This window comes from Homo sapiens, chromosome 4 (genome assembly GCF_000001405.40).
Source record: "Homo sapiens chromosome 4, GRCh38.p14 Primary Assembly".
NCBI lineage: Eukaryota > Metazoa > Chordata > Mammalia > Primates > Hominidae > Homo > Homo sapiens.
In genome coordinates, this window is record NC_000004.12 from 142,605,850 (window position 1) to 142,625,008 (window position 19,159).

Here is a 19,159-nt window from a genome sequence, read left to right on the forward strand (position 1 = left end):
AAAAAAACAAAAAAATAGAACTACTGCACCACCCAGCAATCCCACTATTATCTATCCAAATATCTGTCAATATATCAAAGAACTGCCTGTACTTACATGTTTATTGCAGTACTATTCAGAATAGCAAAGATACTGAATCAATCTAAGTGCCCATCAGTGGACAAATGGATAAAGAAAATGTGGTATACATATGCAATAGAATACTATTGGGCAATTAAAAGAGGATGAAATCATGTCATTTGCAGCAACATGGATGGAACTGGAAGTCATTAAGTTAAGTGAAATAAGCCAGGCACAGAAAGACAAACAGTGTGTATTCTCATTCCTTTGTGGGCACTAAAAAACTTTAATCTCATAGACATGGAGAATAGAACTAGAATGATAGATATCAGAGACTGGGAAGGGTGGGGAAGGGATATATGAAGGGAGGTCAGTTATGAGTACAAACATACAGTTAGATAGAAGAAATAAGTTCAAATGTTTGACAGCAGATCAAGGTACTAGCAACAATATTACATATATTTCAAAGCAACTAGAAGAGAGGACTTGAAACGATACCAACATAAAAAAATAATAAGCAACTCAAGGTTTATCACTCATGATAAACCCCAATTACCCTGACTTGATCATTACACATTCTTTGCATATAAAAACACTCACATGTACCCTATACATGTGTAAATTTTTATATATCAATAAAAGGGTAAAAAAAGAAGCATTAAACAATTTTAAAATATCAGATTAAAACACAGCTGTTCAAATACATATTTTCAAATATTTTGGATCCTTAAGAATGTTTGCCTAAAGGAATTTTTCAGTCTTTTCATATGCAACACTCTGGCCTTGAAAGTGCTAAAATTCCATGAGGAAGCTGCTGGCAATGTTTCTGTTTCATTAGAGAAAAATACTAAAATCAATTTTCTCCGGACTCAGATCAAGTAAGAATCACTGCAAATGACAATTTCAATTATCTGTGGTGCATATATGTCTTTTAAGCATTTGAAAATCAAAGGCAAATTTTTTAAAACACAAAGAAAGGTAACAAATTGTTTAAATTTTACTTTTGCTTTTTTACTTATTAAACAATAATGCATAATCATTATAGAATAATTAGAAACCTAAATATACAAATAAATAAATCTAAACTATAAATAAATCTATATAACATTATGTCAATATGATTATTAACTTATATTTGGTAATACTGTTTTCTATTTTACATATATGGTATTATAATGAAAATATAATACTATATCCAAATTTGTTTGCTCAACATTTTTTGCATAAATATATCCTCATATCTTTCAACAAAAAATAGAAAGACAAACTTTAATGCTGTGTAAAATCTATCATGTAGATATTCAATAATTAAATTAATCATTCCCTTTTTGTTGAATGTTGTGGTACTATATGGAAAGCAGATAAGATTTTATTTACATATAAAAGTAGTCAAATATATGCAAATGTTTAAATGAATTACTCTATTAAAGGCTATAGCAGTAGCTTTTTCATTACTATACACTCTGAACATCCTCTAGTTAGGTAAGTTAATAAGAGGCATCTAGAAATTGCCACCTATTTATATGTATATGTAGCTTTACATGTTGCTTAAGTGCTCTAGTCCTGGCTGACATAAAGCTTGATACCATCGTTATTAGTCTGCATCCAAACCTCTTGGTCTCTAGAGAATATATATTGGATTTGGATGCTGGTCTGTCCAGCTGATCCAAAATAAAAATATAACACTATTTTTTCCAGATGTCTATGTACAAAACAAGTTTAAAATTAATAATATATTAATGCTCTGTGTACAGATTTATAGTACTTTCAATTTTATTTTGCACATTCACATTAGCCTTGTTTTACAGGGCAATTATAGAGAAGATATACAAATTAAGACAGACAATATACTTTTTTAAAAAAGAAGAACACTTATAGCTTCCAGGATCAAGAGAGTTGAAGTCATAAAGCCTGCTAGGGATGAAGAAAAGACAAGACCTTTCCACTATTACCCTTAATTCCTCAATAAATCAGTTTCTCAACATGAATGGTTATATTCCTGTTCTATGGGGCAAATGGCAATAGCTTCCTCTATGGACAAAGACACCATGAAACCTTCCCAGGACATCTGCATCCAACCTTGTTCTATGCTTCGCAGGCACTCTGCCACCCCAAAGATTTTCCATTATCTGACATATTTACTGCTATATTTTCAGAGCACAAGCATTAAAGAAGTTGTTTGGTTTTTTGTTTTAAATAAATGAATGAATCATCAAGGGCCTATTGTCTTCTAATTATAAACAGTAGAGTGACTGCTGCACCTGCCATTAGTTAATGATTTCCTAAAAATGAAGGCAGAGGTTTCCTTTTGGAGTTTTCTGGCAGAATTACCAGGACTTCTTTCCTTTATTGACTCTTTTGCATAGGACAAAAGTCAATAATAAAGGCAATTACTCTCTCACCTTCATGAAAATACCACACCTTTGGCATTATAGTGAGTTGGAAGAAAATGTATTAAAAACAAACATGATAATGTCAATGGCCTAAAAAATATCTTTTCTTGACACCAACATTCTGGAATATGCAGGATTTATGAGTTTTCTATAGCTTCTAACTACATTTTTCTTTCTTAATACCCTATAATCTTCCACCCATTGCACTTGAAATCCATCTCTGTCATATTCTCTACTGTATTGCCAATGCCTAGAATGCCTAGAACAATACTTGGAAGATAGTAGGTGCTCATTAAATATTTGTGGACTTCCTAGGTTACAGAAGTACCCTTTGGTCTCCACTTGCTCTCCCTCTGACCTACTCTGTACAACACCCTCCAAGACTTATCATCTGGAAAGACCAGTTTCGTTGAGTCCCTCTCCAACCAAAATCTCAACAGAGTCTGCTGCCTTTGACAACTGCATGCACAGCCATTAACTGTTACTTTCAAGATCCTCTCTGTCTTCACTGTATCTCACCTTTCTAGCCAGTGCTGCTATACTAACTTCAAACACACACTTTCTGTTCCCATCATGCTTCCTCAGTGTCTGTTCCCCAATCTCCACTCTTGTCATATTATGTGTATATTTGAATCTTCAGGACTGCTCATCCTCGATTTAGAGGAGCCTCCCTTCCTTTTTCCCATCTCAAACTCTTATTATGCTTCAAAGGAAGTTCAGTCTCGCTACATGAAGTGCCTTTTTCTTCTTACTCTATAATGATATTTCCTTTCTTTGAATCCATATTTCCTAATAATTTTGTTCTCTTATTGTTTTCTGAGGTTTCTCTCTTCAGTTAGATTCCCTGCTTACAGCTCCGAATAATTTTCCAGTAATGGAAAATATTATTAAATATAAATATTTATTTATATTTAAACATAAATACTTATTTATGTTTATTGTAATTAACACTAAGACCAAAAGGCTGCATATGGAAGGATCAGAGCATGCTGAGGTTGCCTACTAATTGCTGAGAGGCTCATTTAATTCATCAGCCAAAATCAATTTGAATGTTTCAGCTCAAAAAGAACAGAGGTTTTAAGTATGTGATTCTGTGCACATAAGTAAATGTGAGTTTTTATCCTAAAAGAAAAAAAAAAGTTATCTCTCCTGTTTCTCTGGGATACTTCCCTTTCCCCTTTTCTCAAAAGATTACCATGTTAGCCTCACATTGGTGGATATCATATCAATTCAAAGTCTTTAAAACTTTACTGATAGGTCCCTGAAATGAATACTTCTAATATTGTCTCCAAAAGGCTTTATCACTGATAAAAATTATGATTCAAAATGTTTCTCCAAAAAAAGCTTATCTAAGATACCATCTATAAATATCCATGATGCTGACTTCCTAAAAACCACTTATCTGCTTAGTTGCACTTATTATTCTAATTTCACACATACTCATTTTCTCTTGAATAGGAAAACTGTTTCTTGAAGAGTCAACTGTTTTCTCAGCCCTTTTGATACTGCTAGTTTGCTTGCTCACTGTTCATAACACTCCCAGGCACCAGCTGAAACAGAATGTAATTATAATTTCCTAAGAAGTAGTGAATAGAATAGCCTTCTAACATAGCACTTTCTAGATGATGGATATGTATAATTTGCACTGGTGGATATGGTAGCCACTACCCATATCTGGCTACTGAGCACTTGAAATTTAGCTAATGGGATTGAGGATATAGATTTTTTTATGTTAGTCAATTGATATGGCTTGGCTGTGTCCCCACCCAAATCTCACCTTGAATTGCAACAGTCCCCATGTGTCAAGGGTGGGGCCAGGTGGAGATAATTGAATCAGGGGGGCAGTTTCCTCCATACTGTTCTCATGGTAGTAAATAAGTCTCACGAGATCTAATGGTTTTATTAATGGGAGTTCTGCACAAGCCCTCTTGCCTGCCACCATGTAAGACGTGCCTTTGCTTATCCTTTGCCTTCCACAATGATTGTGAGGCCTCCCAGCCATGTAGAACTGTGAATCCATTAAACCTCTTTCCTTTATAAATTACTCAGTCTTGGCTATGTCTTTATTAGCAGTGTGAGAACAGAATAATATATTAATTTAACCTCAAATAGCCATCTGAGGGTAGTGACTACTGCATTAGATGGTGTAATTTTAATATAACCAACACTGTTAAGATTGTATATTTAATAAAAATTAAGAGGATAAATAAATAAGACTCAGAATAAAATGACATTTATTTTAACAGCATATGCTTTTCATATTTGTAAATTAAAAAAATTTAGACAGAGTGTTCCCTATATCTATGTTTATAGCTATACTCCTAATTAGTTGTGTGGTATTAGAAAAACTGCATTATTTTTATGGACCTCAAAAGTTTAGAACACGTGATCACCAACTTTGAAATTATTTGATTCTATATTGATCTTAAACTTATTACCCTGAGAATATTTTTGAAAATTAACTGAGAAATATATATATGTATGTGTACACACACACCCACACATTACAAACTGAAAAGTTGCATGCCAATGGAAGCATCATTTTTTAAAAAAATAAGATTCAGGTTCACCAATTTTTAAATCTACTAGGATTTTGATGCTGAAACCTTAGTTCAAAAGCTTTCTTGGACCACCACAAAATATGTATTAGTCCATTCTTGCACTGCTACAAAAACATACCTGAGACTGAGTAATTTATAAAGAAAAGAGATTTAGTTTGCTCACAGTTCTGCAGGATATACAGAAAGAATGATGCTGGTATCCACCTGGCTTCCAGGGAGGCCTCAGGAAACTTTCAATCATGGCAAAAGGCAAAGGGGAAGCAGGCATGGCACGTCTTACATGGCAGGAGGAGGAGCAAGAGAGAAAGAGGAGAGGTGCTAAACACTTTTAAACAATCATGTCTTGCAAGAACTGACTTACTCTCAGGAGAACAGCACCAAGGGATGGTGCTAAACCATTCATGAGAAATCTACACCCATAATCCAATCACCTCCAGCCAGGTTCCGCCTCCAACACTGGGTGTTACAATTCGATGTGAGATCTGGGCAAGGACACAGACACGAACCATACCAGAATATATGCTGGTATTTATAAGCATCTGTAATATTTCATGTTTGTTTGTTTTGTTTTGTTAGCTTCAAGGAAAAGTAAGTAATGGTAAGTATATAACATACTCATAACTATGAATTAAACACTTTTATCTGGCCTAACATTAAAATACATATATCTTTTATTTTTTCGTTTGTAAAAAAAAAAATTATTTGTGTGCAAAAAATAAATTGGCTTTTCAAACACTTAATTTTCCTTCTGGAAGTTCTGTTTTTTCTTTTTTCTTTTTTTTTTTTTTTTTTTTTTTTGAGATGGAGTCTGGCTGTGTCACCCAGGCTGGAGTCTGGCTGTGTCACCCAGGCTGGAGTGTGGTGGTGTGATCTCGGCTCACTGCAAGCTCTGCCTCTGAGGTTCAAGCGATTCTCCTGCCTCAGCCTCCCAAGCAGCTGGGATTACAGGTGCACGCCACCATGCCTGGCTAATTTTTGTAATTTTAGTAGAGATGGGGTTTCACCATATTGGTCAGGCTGGTCTCGAACTCCTGACCTCAGGTGATCCACCAGCCTCAGCCTCCCAAAGTGCTGGGATTATAGGCGTGAGCCACTGCATCTGGCCTGGAAGTTCCCTCTTTAAGGACAGGTTTCTGTAGCTCACTGTATAGCATACACAGGTTTACATGCATTATTTTTTTGGACCTCAATAGGTTTGCATACCCTATTTGCACATGCAGGTATGGTGATCACCCCTCTTCCACCCAATTAACAACCTTCAGGAGAAAAAAATAGAGGAAGGAGAGGAGTGTTTGCTGGTTGCAGCTCTCTAGGAATAGCCAAGGAGTTGGCAAAGGAAGCTCACTCTCCCTGCTGCTTCTGCCTCTGAAGTGAGTGATCCATACTTTGGTAAATGAGATGATTCATTTGTATGCAGAAAGAAAATATTAAGACTCTTGCTTATATTTAGTTTTTATAGAATAACTAAGAAAGTAATTAGGCCTCGCAATTATTTAACACATAGTGTGTAGAGACTGCTATTTGCCTACTGCAATATCCATTCTTTATGTCTTAGTCCTTCTTGGCTATTAAAACAAACATGCCATAGACTAAGTAGTTTAAAAACAACAGAAATGTATTTCTCACTGTTATGAAGGCCAAGAAGTCCAAGTTCAAGGTACCAACATATTTGGCGTTTGGTAAGGGCCCAATTCCTGGTTTACAGAAATCCTGAGATTAGGTTAGTGTAAAAAGAATTGCAGTTTTTGCCATTTTTAAAAGTAATGGCAAAACTGCAATTATTTTTGCACCGACCAATATAGCCTCACATGGAGGAAAGGGAAAGAAAACTCCCTGGGGCCTTTTTTATGAGGGCACTAATCTCATTTGTGAAGGCTCCACCCTCATGACCTAATCATCTCCTAAAGGCCCCATGTCCAAATATCACCATGGGTGTTAGGATTTAACACCCTATGAAATTGGTGGAAAAGAAGCATTCAGTCTGTAGCACTCTTCTCACTTAGTAACAGAACCCTGACTGTTAGCTCAATATGTTGTCACTTAGAACGAAAAGTTATTATTTCCTGGACCTATTTCTAGCTAAGTTTTGGCCCCTATATGCAATCAGAAATAATGTAAGTGCCATATAGAAAACTTCCTCAAAGGGAAGCATGGCCTTTTTTCTCCTTTCTTTCTTCCTGCTAATTAGAATGTGAATGTAATGGCTAGAGATCCGGCTGCTGCTTTGTACCACGAGGGAGCAGACCCATGTTGAGAACAGACATTCAATAAAGAGAGAGCTTTTCTCCCTGATGATCAGAGACCTACCAGTCTTTAACTGTCAATCTACAGATTTCACATGGAAAAGAGATACAATTCCATCTAGTTTAATACACTACTATTTGTTTTAAATACTATTTCTGCAATATGCAGCTGAACATAAGCGAAACTGATACATATAGATTTGTGAGTAGTACATTTTATAAGGTATATATTAATATGAAGATAACAAATGCATGCTCTTTATTTTTCACAGGATATACAATAAAATAGTTTGGAGATTACAAAACTAAAAGACTGTTACATGCTCCTGCCAAGGTCATCTATATCTGGAAATCAATAGAATTTCATGAGTTACCATCATACATACACTGATTATACTGCAGTAGACTCTCAGTGTGTAGCTATGGCTACAGATCCTTGGGAAATCTAAAATTCACAACACATATATCTTTGTAAAGACCCTTGACTTTTCATAGACATAATTTCTGTCCAGAATCTCATGTTCTGTGAATATATCCTTCCATCACATTACAAAGAGAAATGTTTAAATCATTTAACAAAAAGCTATACAATAACAAATGGAGAATGTAAAAAAGATTAATATTTAGATGCTGGGTGCTTGGCTAGCTTCACTTGTCATTTAATAACTTAGTCCTACACATCAGCCTCATGGTGCATATTACTCACATACCTTAAATTGTAAAAAATCAGATATCATGATCTTCAAGGTTATTTGCAAATGGTAAGTCCTCCAAGGCCAAATTCACAAATAGAAAGGGTTTGTTGTATTAAGAGCCAAACTTCCACTGCATCCCACCATGTTATACTAAGATTCTTAGTTAATACAAACCTATACTTAAACACAGTGGTGATGGTTATAGGAACGGGTAGCAAATAAATATCAAGATAAGTTCTTAATAGTAACTGAAACAGCATAGTGCTGGTATAAAAATAGATGCACAGATCAATGGAACAGAACAAAGAACCCACAGGAGGCTGAGGCAGGAGAATCACTTGAGGCTGGGAGGTGGAGTTTGCAGTAGGCGAAGGCCACTGCACTCCAGCCAACATGGGTGACAGAGCAAGACTCTGTCTCAAAACAAACAAACAAACAAACCCAAAATAAAGCTACATACCTACAAGCAAGTTGTCAAAAATATACTCTAGGGAAAGAACACACTGTTCAATAAATGATGCTGGGAAAATTTGATAATCATATACAGAAGAATGAAAGTGAGCTCCTATCTCTCAGTATATAAAAATAACTAAAGATAGATTAAAAACCTAAATGTAAGACTTGAAACTATAAAACTCCTGGAAGAAAACCTAGGAAAAACTCCTCTGGACATTGACCTAGGCAAAGAATTTATGACTAAGTCCTCAAAAGGAAATGCAACAAAAAACAAAAATATAGAAGTAGGACTTAATTAAACTGAATAGCTTCTGCATAACAAAATAAATAATCAACAGAGTAAACAGGCAACCTACAGGATTAGTGAAAATATTTGAAAACAATACTTCTGACAGAGGGCTAATATCCAGAACCAAAGGAACTCAAACAGCTCAACAAAAAAGAAACAACCACATTAAAAAGTAGACAAAGGACATGAACAGACATTTTTTCAAAAGAAAACATACAAGTAACCTATAAACATATGGGAAAAATGCTCAATATGAGTAATCTTAAGAGTAATGAAAATTAAAACCACAATGAGATACCATCTTACCCTAGTCAGAATGACTATTACTAAAAAGTCAAAAAACAACAGATGTTGGTGAGGATGCAGAGAAAAAGGAATGCTTATAGACTATTGGTGGAAATCTAAATTAGTACAACCTCTATGGAAGACAGTATGGAGATTTCTAAAGAACTAAAAATAGAACTACCCTTTGATTCAGAAATTTCACTACTGAGTATCCACTCAAAGGAAAAGAAATCATTATATCAGAAAGAAACCTGAACTTGTAAGTTTATCGCAGCACTATTCATTTTTTATTTGTTTATTTATTTTTATTTTAAAAGGTTAGTTCTGAGTCAGTATGACTGACTATGTACCGAGGAACACAATCTGAAGAGTTCCTGAGAAAGTGCATCTGCAGAAGTTAGACTGCACTTTGGTTTTATACATTTTAGAAAGGGAGGAGGTTTTATACATTTTAGAAAGGAAGGAGTTACAGGCAAAGTAATAAATCAATACATGGAAGTTATATGTTGATTTGATCCAAAAAGATAGATATCTACAGGTTATAGGTGGATTAAGAGATTCCTTAATTTGCAACTGGTTAAAGGAGTAAAGCTTTGTCTACAAATTTGGAGTCAGCAGAAAGGAATGTTTTAAGTTAAGATAAGGAAGTCTGTTAACCAATAAACTAGGTCAGAGTGACCTGTAGGGATGTGTGAGTTAGCCCTTGTCTGGCATGGCCTTAGGTCCTATTTGTGATTCAGTATCTTACTGTCACGAAGAGTCCACCTAGTTAGTCTCATGATCTCTATTTTTATTAATTTTTTATTAATGCGAGTCAGTTGTGCCTAAACTCCAAAAGGGAAAGGGTATAACAAGGTACGTCTGACCTCCCTTCCCATCATGGCTGGGAATTCAGTTTTTAAGGTTTTTCTGAGGTCCCCTTGGCCAAGAAAGTGTGTCTTCAGTCAGTGGGGGACTTAAGATTTTATTTTTAGTTTACAACTTGACAGTTTAACTTTTTCGTAGGGGTTGAGAGAATGCTTCCTCTCTGCCCACTGAAGGTTCACAGAAAATAAACTGACAAAAGCCATATTAATAGGAGAAAAAAAGGCATACAAATTCATAATGTGCCTAAACACAGAAGTCATATACAAAATATGAGACTTAAAGAGGGGCCATATGTTTGAGGCTTAAATAATCTCTTTATATGGGAGAGATGTATGGACTCAGGTGTTAGATATTATTTTATAAATGATTCTATTTGGAAGCTAGATGGACAAGGTGAGGGGCAGAACTACATAAAAACAAAGATTGACATTTTTATGCAGATAAAGCCCCCCAACCCTCACCCAATGAAATCTCTTGGTGCTGCCCTCGGAATGGATGAAATGTCTATCTCAGTGTGGTGATGACTCCCAGTTTCTTCTCTTCTTTGGTAGTTTATCTTTCCCAGTTATTTGATGAGATTCCTAGAGAGGGAGTCTTAAAACATAACACATTTCTTTTGGAAATAAGCTTTCTTAGATAAAGAAACTTCAGAGAGATATCTCCCAGTGCTTCTGTAAAGAGGATCAGAGAGAGGGAGGCAAGACAAGGTCGGAGAAAGCCAGTAGTTCTGAAGCTTATTTCTGAGACCTCTCAATTTTTAAGGCGCTTAGCATGTTCTGAGACCTCTCAATTTTTAAGGTGCTTAGCATGTTAAAGAGCCATATTTTGGGGAATTATTTTTGTACCCCAACACTTCTAAATTTTAGCCATTCTGGTGACCATACATTTTTGTCTTATTTTAGTTTTAATTTATATTTCCTTGAAAGCTGAAGATGTTGAGCATCTTTTCACGTGCAGCATTATTCATAATAGCAGTCATGGAATCAACCTAAGTGTCCATTGATGGATGACTGAATTTAAAATATGCTATATATACACCATGGGATACTACTCAGCCATAAAAAAGAATGAAATCTTGTCTTTTACAGCAACATGGATAAAACTGGGAGCCATTATCCTAAGTGAAATGACTCAGAAACAGAGAGCCAAAAACCACACGTTCTTACTTGTAAGTGGGAGCTAAAGAGCAGGTATATATGAGCAGCCAGAGTGGAATAATAGACACTGGAGACTCCTAAAGGTGGGGAGGGTAGGAAGGGTATGAGGAATTAAATACTACCTATTGGGTACATTGTGCAGTATTTGGGTGATGGGCACACTAAAAGCCCGAACTTCACAGCTACACAATCTATCCTTGTAAGAAAACTATACTTTTACCTCTAAGATCTAAAAAAATAGAATAAAAATTTAAAAAATAAACCCTCTATTTGCTCAAACATGCATAAACTGAGAACCCTCACACTCCTAACCCATTATCATTTATTCTATTCAGTGGCTTTCCTGGAATATCAGGAGTTTCTAGCCTACCAGAATACTCTGTGCCTACAGCCGCACTATTTCTATTGACAAATTGACACACAAAAAAGGCAGATCTCATCCATTCCCTGGCTGTGGAAAGATGAACATAGCTGACATACATTCGCTCCAACTCACACACATGCATAGCTGATCTGCACCCACCTTCCCTTAGGTCACAGGGATGACAGCTGGAGGCAAAATGCTCAAGGGCAGCAACCATTGCTTGCTGCTCAGAATATAATCTCCCCTCCCTTCAGCAAGACCAGGACAGCACCAGAGGCAAAAGCTCACGGCTGGAGAGACACCTCTAGCACAATCTTCACACCTAGAGTGGAAGGGACATGAGTTTGGGTAACATAAAGAGAGAAGGCGCTGCCATTAATTTCATAAAGGTTAGCCCGTGAGCAATAAACAACGAGCTGGCATTATCCTAGGCACTGTCTGTCTGCTTCCCAAGCACATGACTCCTGGAGTTCAGAGAAAACAGCACAGATGAAAAGGGAGAATATCCCTGATTAAGTCATCTGCTAAAAAATAGTTACAATATAAATCCTATAGAAAACCCTGTTTAGAGGATACGCTTAGCATCTCTCACCTTGCCAAGCTGGATTGAATTAACACAATTTCCAGGCAATGCAATAGAGATAACAGCATAAAAGTTGGAGATTCTCAAGTCACTTGTCACTCTTCAGGTTTTGTCTCCTTTTGTTGAAATGAGCTAGTCCAAATTATTATAATTTATCAATAAAAATATCATACTTAAGAAGCATTATGGCTAAATGTCATTACAATGATGGAATGGTAATTCAAATCATCCTTTTTAAAGGGAATTAAAGAAAGTTAGATTTTATATACTTCATGTGCTATAGTAATATATCCAATGGGGAACATTAAGAAATGAATATTGAAAGACTTAATATTGTCAAAATGTCCATATTACTCAAACTGATTTACAGATTCAATGCAATACCTATCAAAATATCAATGGTACTGTCTACTGAAATAGAAAAAAAAAATCCCTAAAACTTATATGGAACTACAAAAGACCTTGAATAGCCAAAACAACTGTAAGAAGAACAAAGCAGGAGAAATCACGCTTCCTGGTTTCAAAATATAATACAAAGCTATTCTAATTAAAACAGTATGCTGCTGGCATAATGAAAGACATATGGACCAATGGAACAGAATGGAGAACTCCTGAAATAAGCTCACGCATGTATGATCAACTGATTTTTGATAAAGGTGTCAAGGATATGCCAAAGGGAAGGCAAATTGTCTCTTCAACAAACAGCACTGGGGAAACTAGATACCCACATGCAAAAAATAAAACTGGACCCTTTTCTTCCACTATACACATACACACAAAAATCTCAAAATGGATTAAACACTTAAAAATAAGCCCAAACTATGTAATACTCATAAAAAATAGAGGAAAATCTTCATAACATTGGTCTTGACAATGATTTCTTGCATATGACACCAAAGCATAGGCAATGAATGCAAAACTAGGCAAATGGGACTATACCAAACTAAAAAGCTTCTGCAGAGTAAACAATCAACAAAATGAAAAGACAATCTGTGGAATGGAGAAAATTTTTTGCAAATACTATATCTAATAAGGGATTACTATCTAAAATAGATCCTTCAACTCAATGGCAAAATAAATAAATAAATAAATAAATAAATAACAGCCAAATAAAAATATGCAAATGACTTGAATATACATTTCTCCAAAGACCACATATGAAAGGCCAACAGATATATGAAATGCTGCCCAACATCACTCATCACCAGGTAAACGCAAATCAACACCACATTGAGATGTCACCTTACACCTCTTAAGATGGTTTTTATCGAAAAAGACGAAATAAGAAGTATTGGCATAGATGTGAAGAAACTGATTATTTGTGCCATCCTGAGAATGTAAAACAGTGCAGCTGCTGTAGAAAACAGTATGGAGATTCCTAAAAAAAAAAATTAAAAATAGAAATACTATATAATCCAGTAATCCTGATACTGGATATTTATCCAAAGGAATTGAAATCAGGATCTCAAAGACATATTTCCACTCCCATGCTCACTGAGCATGATTCACAATAGCCAAGATGTGGAAACAACCTACATGTCTACTGACAGATGAAGGGACAAAGAAAATATGGTATATACATACAATGGAATATGATTCAGCCTTTAAAATAAAAGGCAATCCTGCCATAGGCAACAACATGGATAAACCTTGAAGACATTATGCTATGTGAAATAAGCCAGTCACAGAAGAATAAATGCTGGATAATACTACTTAAAGGAGTTATATAAAAGAGTCAGGGAGTTATATAAAAGGTTCAAACACACAGAACCAGAGAGTAGAATGGTTGTTGCCAGGGGATAAGAGGGAAAGGGAAATAGGGAATTGCTATCCAATAGGAGTAAGGTTTCAGTTATGCAAGGTTATTAAGTTCTAGAGATCTTCTGTATAACATTGTGCCCACAGTTAATACTGTATTATCCGCTTAGAAATGTGTTAAGAGGGCAGATCTCATGTTAAGTGTTATTACCACAGGAATACCCCCCAAAAGGAGAAATGAATATGAGATTAGAGATTATATCTCAGGAGTGGATAAGAAAGGAAAGGAAGAGAGATACGTTTATTTTGCCACAAAGTAAGGATACTTTCTGAAATGTTTGAGCTCACATGATTTAACACAGAATCATAGTCCTAAAATTTAAAACCAAGTAAGAGTAGTAGGACTAATTTAACCTAACCTCGTTTTTTAAAGATGAAGAAACTGGGTTTTACGAGTCAAAAAATAACAGATGCTAGCTGCAGAGAAAAGATAACTCTCATACATTGCTGCTGGGGATGTGGAAAGCATCGTGGAGATTTCTTAAAGAAATTAAAACAGAACTACCATTCGGCCCAACAATTCCAACAATGGGTATATACCTAAAGAAACGTAAGTAGCTCTACCATAAAAACACATGCACACATATGTTCATTACCACACTAATCACAAGCACAAATACATGGAATCAACCTAAATGCCCATCAACTGTGGACTGGATAAAGAAAATGTGGTACATATACACCATGGAATATTACACAGCTGTAGAAAAGAGCGAGATTATGTCTTTTGCAGCAACATAGATGGAGCTGGAAGCCATTATCCTAAGTGAATTAATGCAGGAACAGAAAACCAAATACTGCATGCTCTCACTTATAAATGGGACCTATACTTTGAGTACACACACACACAAAGAAGGAAATAATAGACACTCGTGCCCACTTGAGGATGGAGTGGGGGAGGAGAGTGAGGATCGATAAACTACCTATCAGGTACTATGCTTATTAACTGGATGATGAAATAGTATGTACAACAAACCCGCATGACATGCAATTTATCTGCAGAACCTACTTGCACATGTATGCATTAAACTGAAATAAGAGTTAAAAAAATAAAGATATGAGTATTAAAAATAAAAAAAAGTTAAGAATGCCCATAGAATTTTACAACTATTTAGCAGCAGAGTCAAAAGAAAAATTCAAGTTTTCAGATTTTGTTCAAGTTTTTAATTGTTTCATTATTTTCAGATTATTCCTTGTGTTTCTGACTTTAACCATTTAATTTTTTTCAAAGACTCACTTAAAACATAACCATTCGGGGAGTTTTTTAGATGATGGAATTGCACTGTATTCTGATTGTGTTGGTGGTTATACAAGTCTATACATGTGTTAACATTCATAGAACTATAAATCAAAAAAGTAAATTAAAATATCAAAAAAACCTTAAATGCTATTGAAGGAGCTTTTTTTTTAAATCTAGTGTATCTGGATTTTCATACTATAATGTCTTAGTTATATCCAGTAGGAAACCAATAATAAAATGCAGGACATTTTAGCCCCTTTGTCTATTATTCACTGATTCTGATTATTGCGTGGTCTGCTACTTTATTATGCAAATTTTCTACCACCAAATATAAACATAAAATAAAGAACTAAGAATGGAGTGTAAATCCTTCTTCTTATTATTGACCAAATCTGCAAAAAAATAGAATACTGTTTGTGAGAAACTTAGCAGTAGAGAGGTAAGTGATGTAGATCTACTAAAAGATTTAGAAAATTATATCTGTTTAGGCCAGTCCTAAATAGCTCATGGTAAAATAGATGATGATTACAACCACACACCACTTATACAGTCCCCGTGCACTTGAAATTGCTTTAGATGGGTGTCAATTATATCTAGCCCAGATTCAGGAGGAAAAGAAATATTTTTGGATGTCAATCATCTGTATTTAATACTAATATAAGAGATAAATTCAGACCATAGCAGAGTGGAAAGGACATGATTGTAAGAGTTACTCAGTGGGATTTAAATTGCAACTTCACTCTCTTCTCACTCTGAGAGATTTGACAAGCATTTATTTTTTAACATCTCTAAATCAGTTTTCTCACAAATAGAAAAATCCTTCCTACCTTGCTGAATAATGATGTGGATTAAATATGATGTAATCACATATTCTATGTACATAATAAAATATCACACATACCTTATAAAAATATTATGTATAAAAATATTATGTAATAAAATATAATTATGTATATAAACAATAATATTTAACATTTAGTGTTTGCACGTTGCACATGATTATTCTCAATGCTTTAAGTAGTATAACTTACTTGTCTGAAGAAAAAAATCTACAGGCAAGTGTTGTTAATAGCCTACTTTTACAGGTAGAAAAACTAAGACAGAAGATTAAGTAACTTAATGAAGGTTATACAGTAAGTAAATTGAAAATTGAGATCTGGACCCAAACATTCTGGTTCTAAAGTCCATGTGCTTAAACAGCTTCATCATTATTTCTTCATGTATAAATGACCTGGCACAGGATAGATGCTGAATTAATGGTTGCTGCTGTAACTGCAGCTTTGCAATTTTATGGCAAACTAATCTCACTGGACTCCCAAAAAGCTCAATGTGGGCCCGGGCTACAAACTTTAATGATGTAAATAAAACCATATTGCTAACACTGATACTTTTCATCACATTTTCCCTTTGATAAAGTCAGGGGTTTCTTTATAATGCCGATGTGAATCAACAGTAAAAGCTTCCATTAAAAAAAAAAAGTCCCCATCCCTTAACCTCTCTCCAGGGTCCTGTACCAAGATGCCCAGGTGCTCCCAACATCTCAGTGTGCATGTCATACTTGCTTGTAATGGTTAAAGCAATAGGGAATTGGGCAGATAAAAGAGTTGGGGTATACAATGAAGAGCAAATAAAACTTTTTGCACTTCAGTCCTTCTAAATGAATAGCCTTAATGCAAGAAGAGACAATGAGACCGCCTGAGTGGAGAAGGAGAAAAAAATATCATGCGGGAAATTCCTTGGACCAAAACAAGATGACAGGCAAGGGGAGAAAGAGAAAACTCAAAGACAATTAATGAGGATCAATGGTGATCCAAGAGAAGGAACTTGGTTGATTGGCACAACCAATCATGGTCTCTATAGAAAATAGAGTTTACTCTAAAACCTCAGCTACATCTTAGACCCTTATTTTGTTATTGTTAAAAAAGATTTCTGCTGTAAAACACATTTTGAGTCCTGTACTACAGAAATTTTTTGGAACAGCGTTATTGAGATGTAATTCACATATTGTAAGATTCACCCATTTAAAGCATACAAAATATATTCATAGCACTGTGCAACCTTCACCTCAATCAATTAAAAAATTGTGTGTTAAGCCAATGGGAATAAATTACTGCCCAAAGAGATGTTTTGGCCCTTAACACTCCTCTATAGCCTCCTAAATATCCTCATATCCCAGATTCTCCTACACTTCTGACTTTCTGAGGTGACCCGTGGAAATCACTTGAAAATGGAAACTCCAGAGTCAAATCGCCTTTACTTCTCCCTCTGATTTCCTTATCTGAGGCTTATCTATCACAGTCGCAAATATACACAGAGTCTGTACAACTTCTGCATCTTCTCTACTCCTATTGTACCTGCTTCAATTCAGTCTGACACCGTCCATTTCTAGGACTACTGGAATCTCCCTAACAGGGTGGTGAAAACAAAGTGCATTTGCTGCCACTCCTACCTTCTTTGCCTAATTACAGGAATCTTCCTGGCTTGGTGAACCCTTAGCACCATGCCCCAGAAAGTCCCCACCACATGACTGGAGTTGACACACAAGCTGACACCTTTTGGCAATATCTTCATACCTTTCTAACCTGTCCTTCATATTTTTCCACAGTCACTCTCCTAAAACAGGGATCCATGGTGATGGCTAAATTCTAAGACAGTCCCAACATTTCCATTCCTTGTTATACAGGCCTGTATAATTCACTCCTTTTTTAAATTTTATTATTATTATACCTTAAGTTTTAGGGTACATGCGCACAATGTGCAGGTTAGTTACATATGTATACATGTGCCATGCTCGTGTGCTGCACCCATTAACTCATCATTTAGCATTAGGTATATCTCCTAATGCTATCCCTCCCCCCTCACCCCACCCCACAACAGTCCCCAGAGTGTGATGTTCCCCTTCCTGTGTCCATGTGTTCTCATTGTTCAATTCCCACCTATGAGTGAGAAAATGTAGTGTTTGGTTTTTTGTCCTTGCGATAGTTTACTGAGAATGATGATTTCCAGTTTCATCCATGTCCCTACAAAGGACATGAACTCATCATTTTTTATGGCTGCATAGTATTCCACGGTGTATATGTGCCACATTTTCTTAATCCAGTCTATCATTGTTGGACATTTGGGTTGGTTCCAAGTCTTTGCTATCGTGAATACTGCCGCAATAAACATACGTGTGCATGTGTCTTTAAAGCAGCATGATTTATAGTCCTTTGGGTATATACCCAGTAATGGGATGGCTGGGTCAAATGGTATTTCTAGTTCTAGATCTCTGAGGAATCGCCACACTGACTTCCACAATGGTTGAACTAGTTTACAGTCCCACCAACAGTATAAAGTGTTCCTATTTCTCCACATCCTCTCCCGCACCTGTTGTTTCCTGACTTTTTAATGATTGCCATTCTAACTGGTGTGAGATGGTATCTCATTGTGGTTTTGATTTGCATTTCTCTGATGGCCAGTGATGGTGAGCATTTTTTCATGTGTTTTTTGGCTGCATAAATGTCTTCTTTTGAGAAGTGTCTGTTCATGTCCTTCGCCCACTTTTTGATGGGGTTGTTTGTTTTTTTCTTGTAAATTTGTTTGAGTTCATTGTAGATGCTGGATATTAGCCCTTTGTCAGATGAGTAGGTTGTGAAAATTTTCTCAAGAGTCCAGGACCAGATGGATTCACAGCCGAATTCTATCAGAGGTACAAGAAGGAACTTGTACCATTCCTTCTGAAACTATTCCAATCAATAGAAAAAGAGGGAATCCTCCTAACTCATTTTATGAGGCCAGCATCATCCTGATACCAAAGCCAGGCAAAGACACAACCCCAAAAAAGAGAATTTTAGACCAATATCCTTGATGAACATTCGTGAAAAAATCCTCAATAAAATACTGGCAAACTGAATCCAGCAGCACATCAAAAAGCTTATCCAACATGATCAAGTGGGCTTCATCCCTGGGATGCAAGGCTGGTTCAATATACGCAAATCAATAAATGTAATCCAGCATATAAACAGAATCAAAGACAAAAACCACATGATTATCTCAATAGATGCAGAAAAGGCCTTTGACAAAATTCAACAACGCTTCATGCTAAAAACTCTCAATAAATTAGGTATTGATGGGATGTATCTCAAAATAATAAGAGCTATCTATGACAA

At 35.7% G+C, this 19,159-nt stretch overlaps 1 protein-coding gene and 1 long non-coding RNA gene across 15 annotated transcripts in view; one reads left to right on the forward strand and one right to left on the reverse strand.

Moving 5' to 3' along the window:
• INPP4B (inositol polyphosphate-4-phosphatase type II B) overlaps positions 1-19,159 on the reverse strand; it is an 823,376-nt gene that overhangs the window by 582,690 nt on the left and 221,527 nt on the right. For 2 of the 12 annotated variants that reach the window (NM_001385336.1, XM_024454274.2), the window contains exon 3: positions 11,530-11,692. The exons of the other annotated variants lie outside the window; for them this stretch is intronic. The gene's annotated coding sequence lies outside the window, so the exon portion shown is untranslated. The remainder of the gene's footprint in view (positions 1-11,529; positions 11,693-19,159) is intronic. 12 annotated transcript variants of the gene reach the window in all.
• The window catches only part of LOC101927613 (uncharacterized), a 100,791-nt gene that overhangs the window by 43,942 nt on the left and 37,690 nt on the right, over positions 1-19,159 (forward strand). Inside the window, exon 3 of one of the 3 annotated variants that reach the window (XR_007058284.1) lies at positions 6,235-6,311. The exons of the other annotated variants lie outside the window; for them this stretch is intronic. This is a non-coding gene — a long non-coding RNA (uncharacterized LOC101927613). Of the gene's footprint in view, positions 1-6,234; positions 6,312-19,159 lie in introns of those variants that run through there. 3 annotated transcript variants of the gene reach the window in all.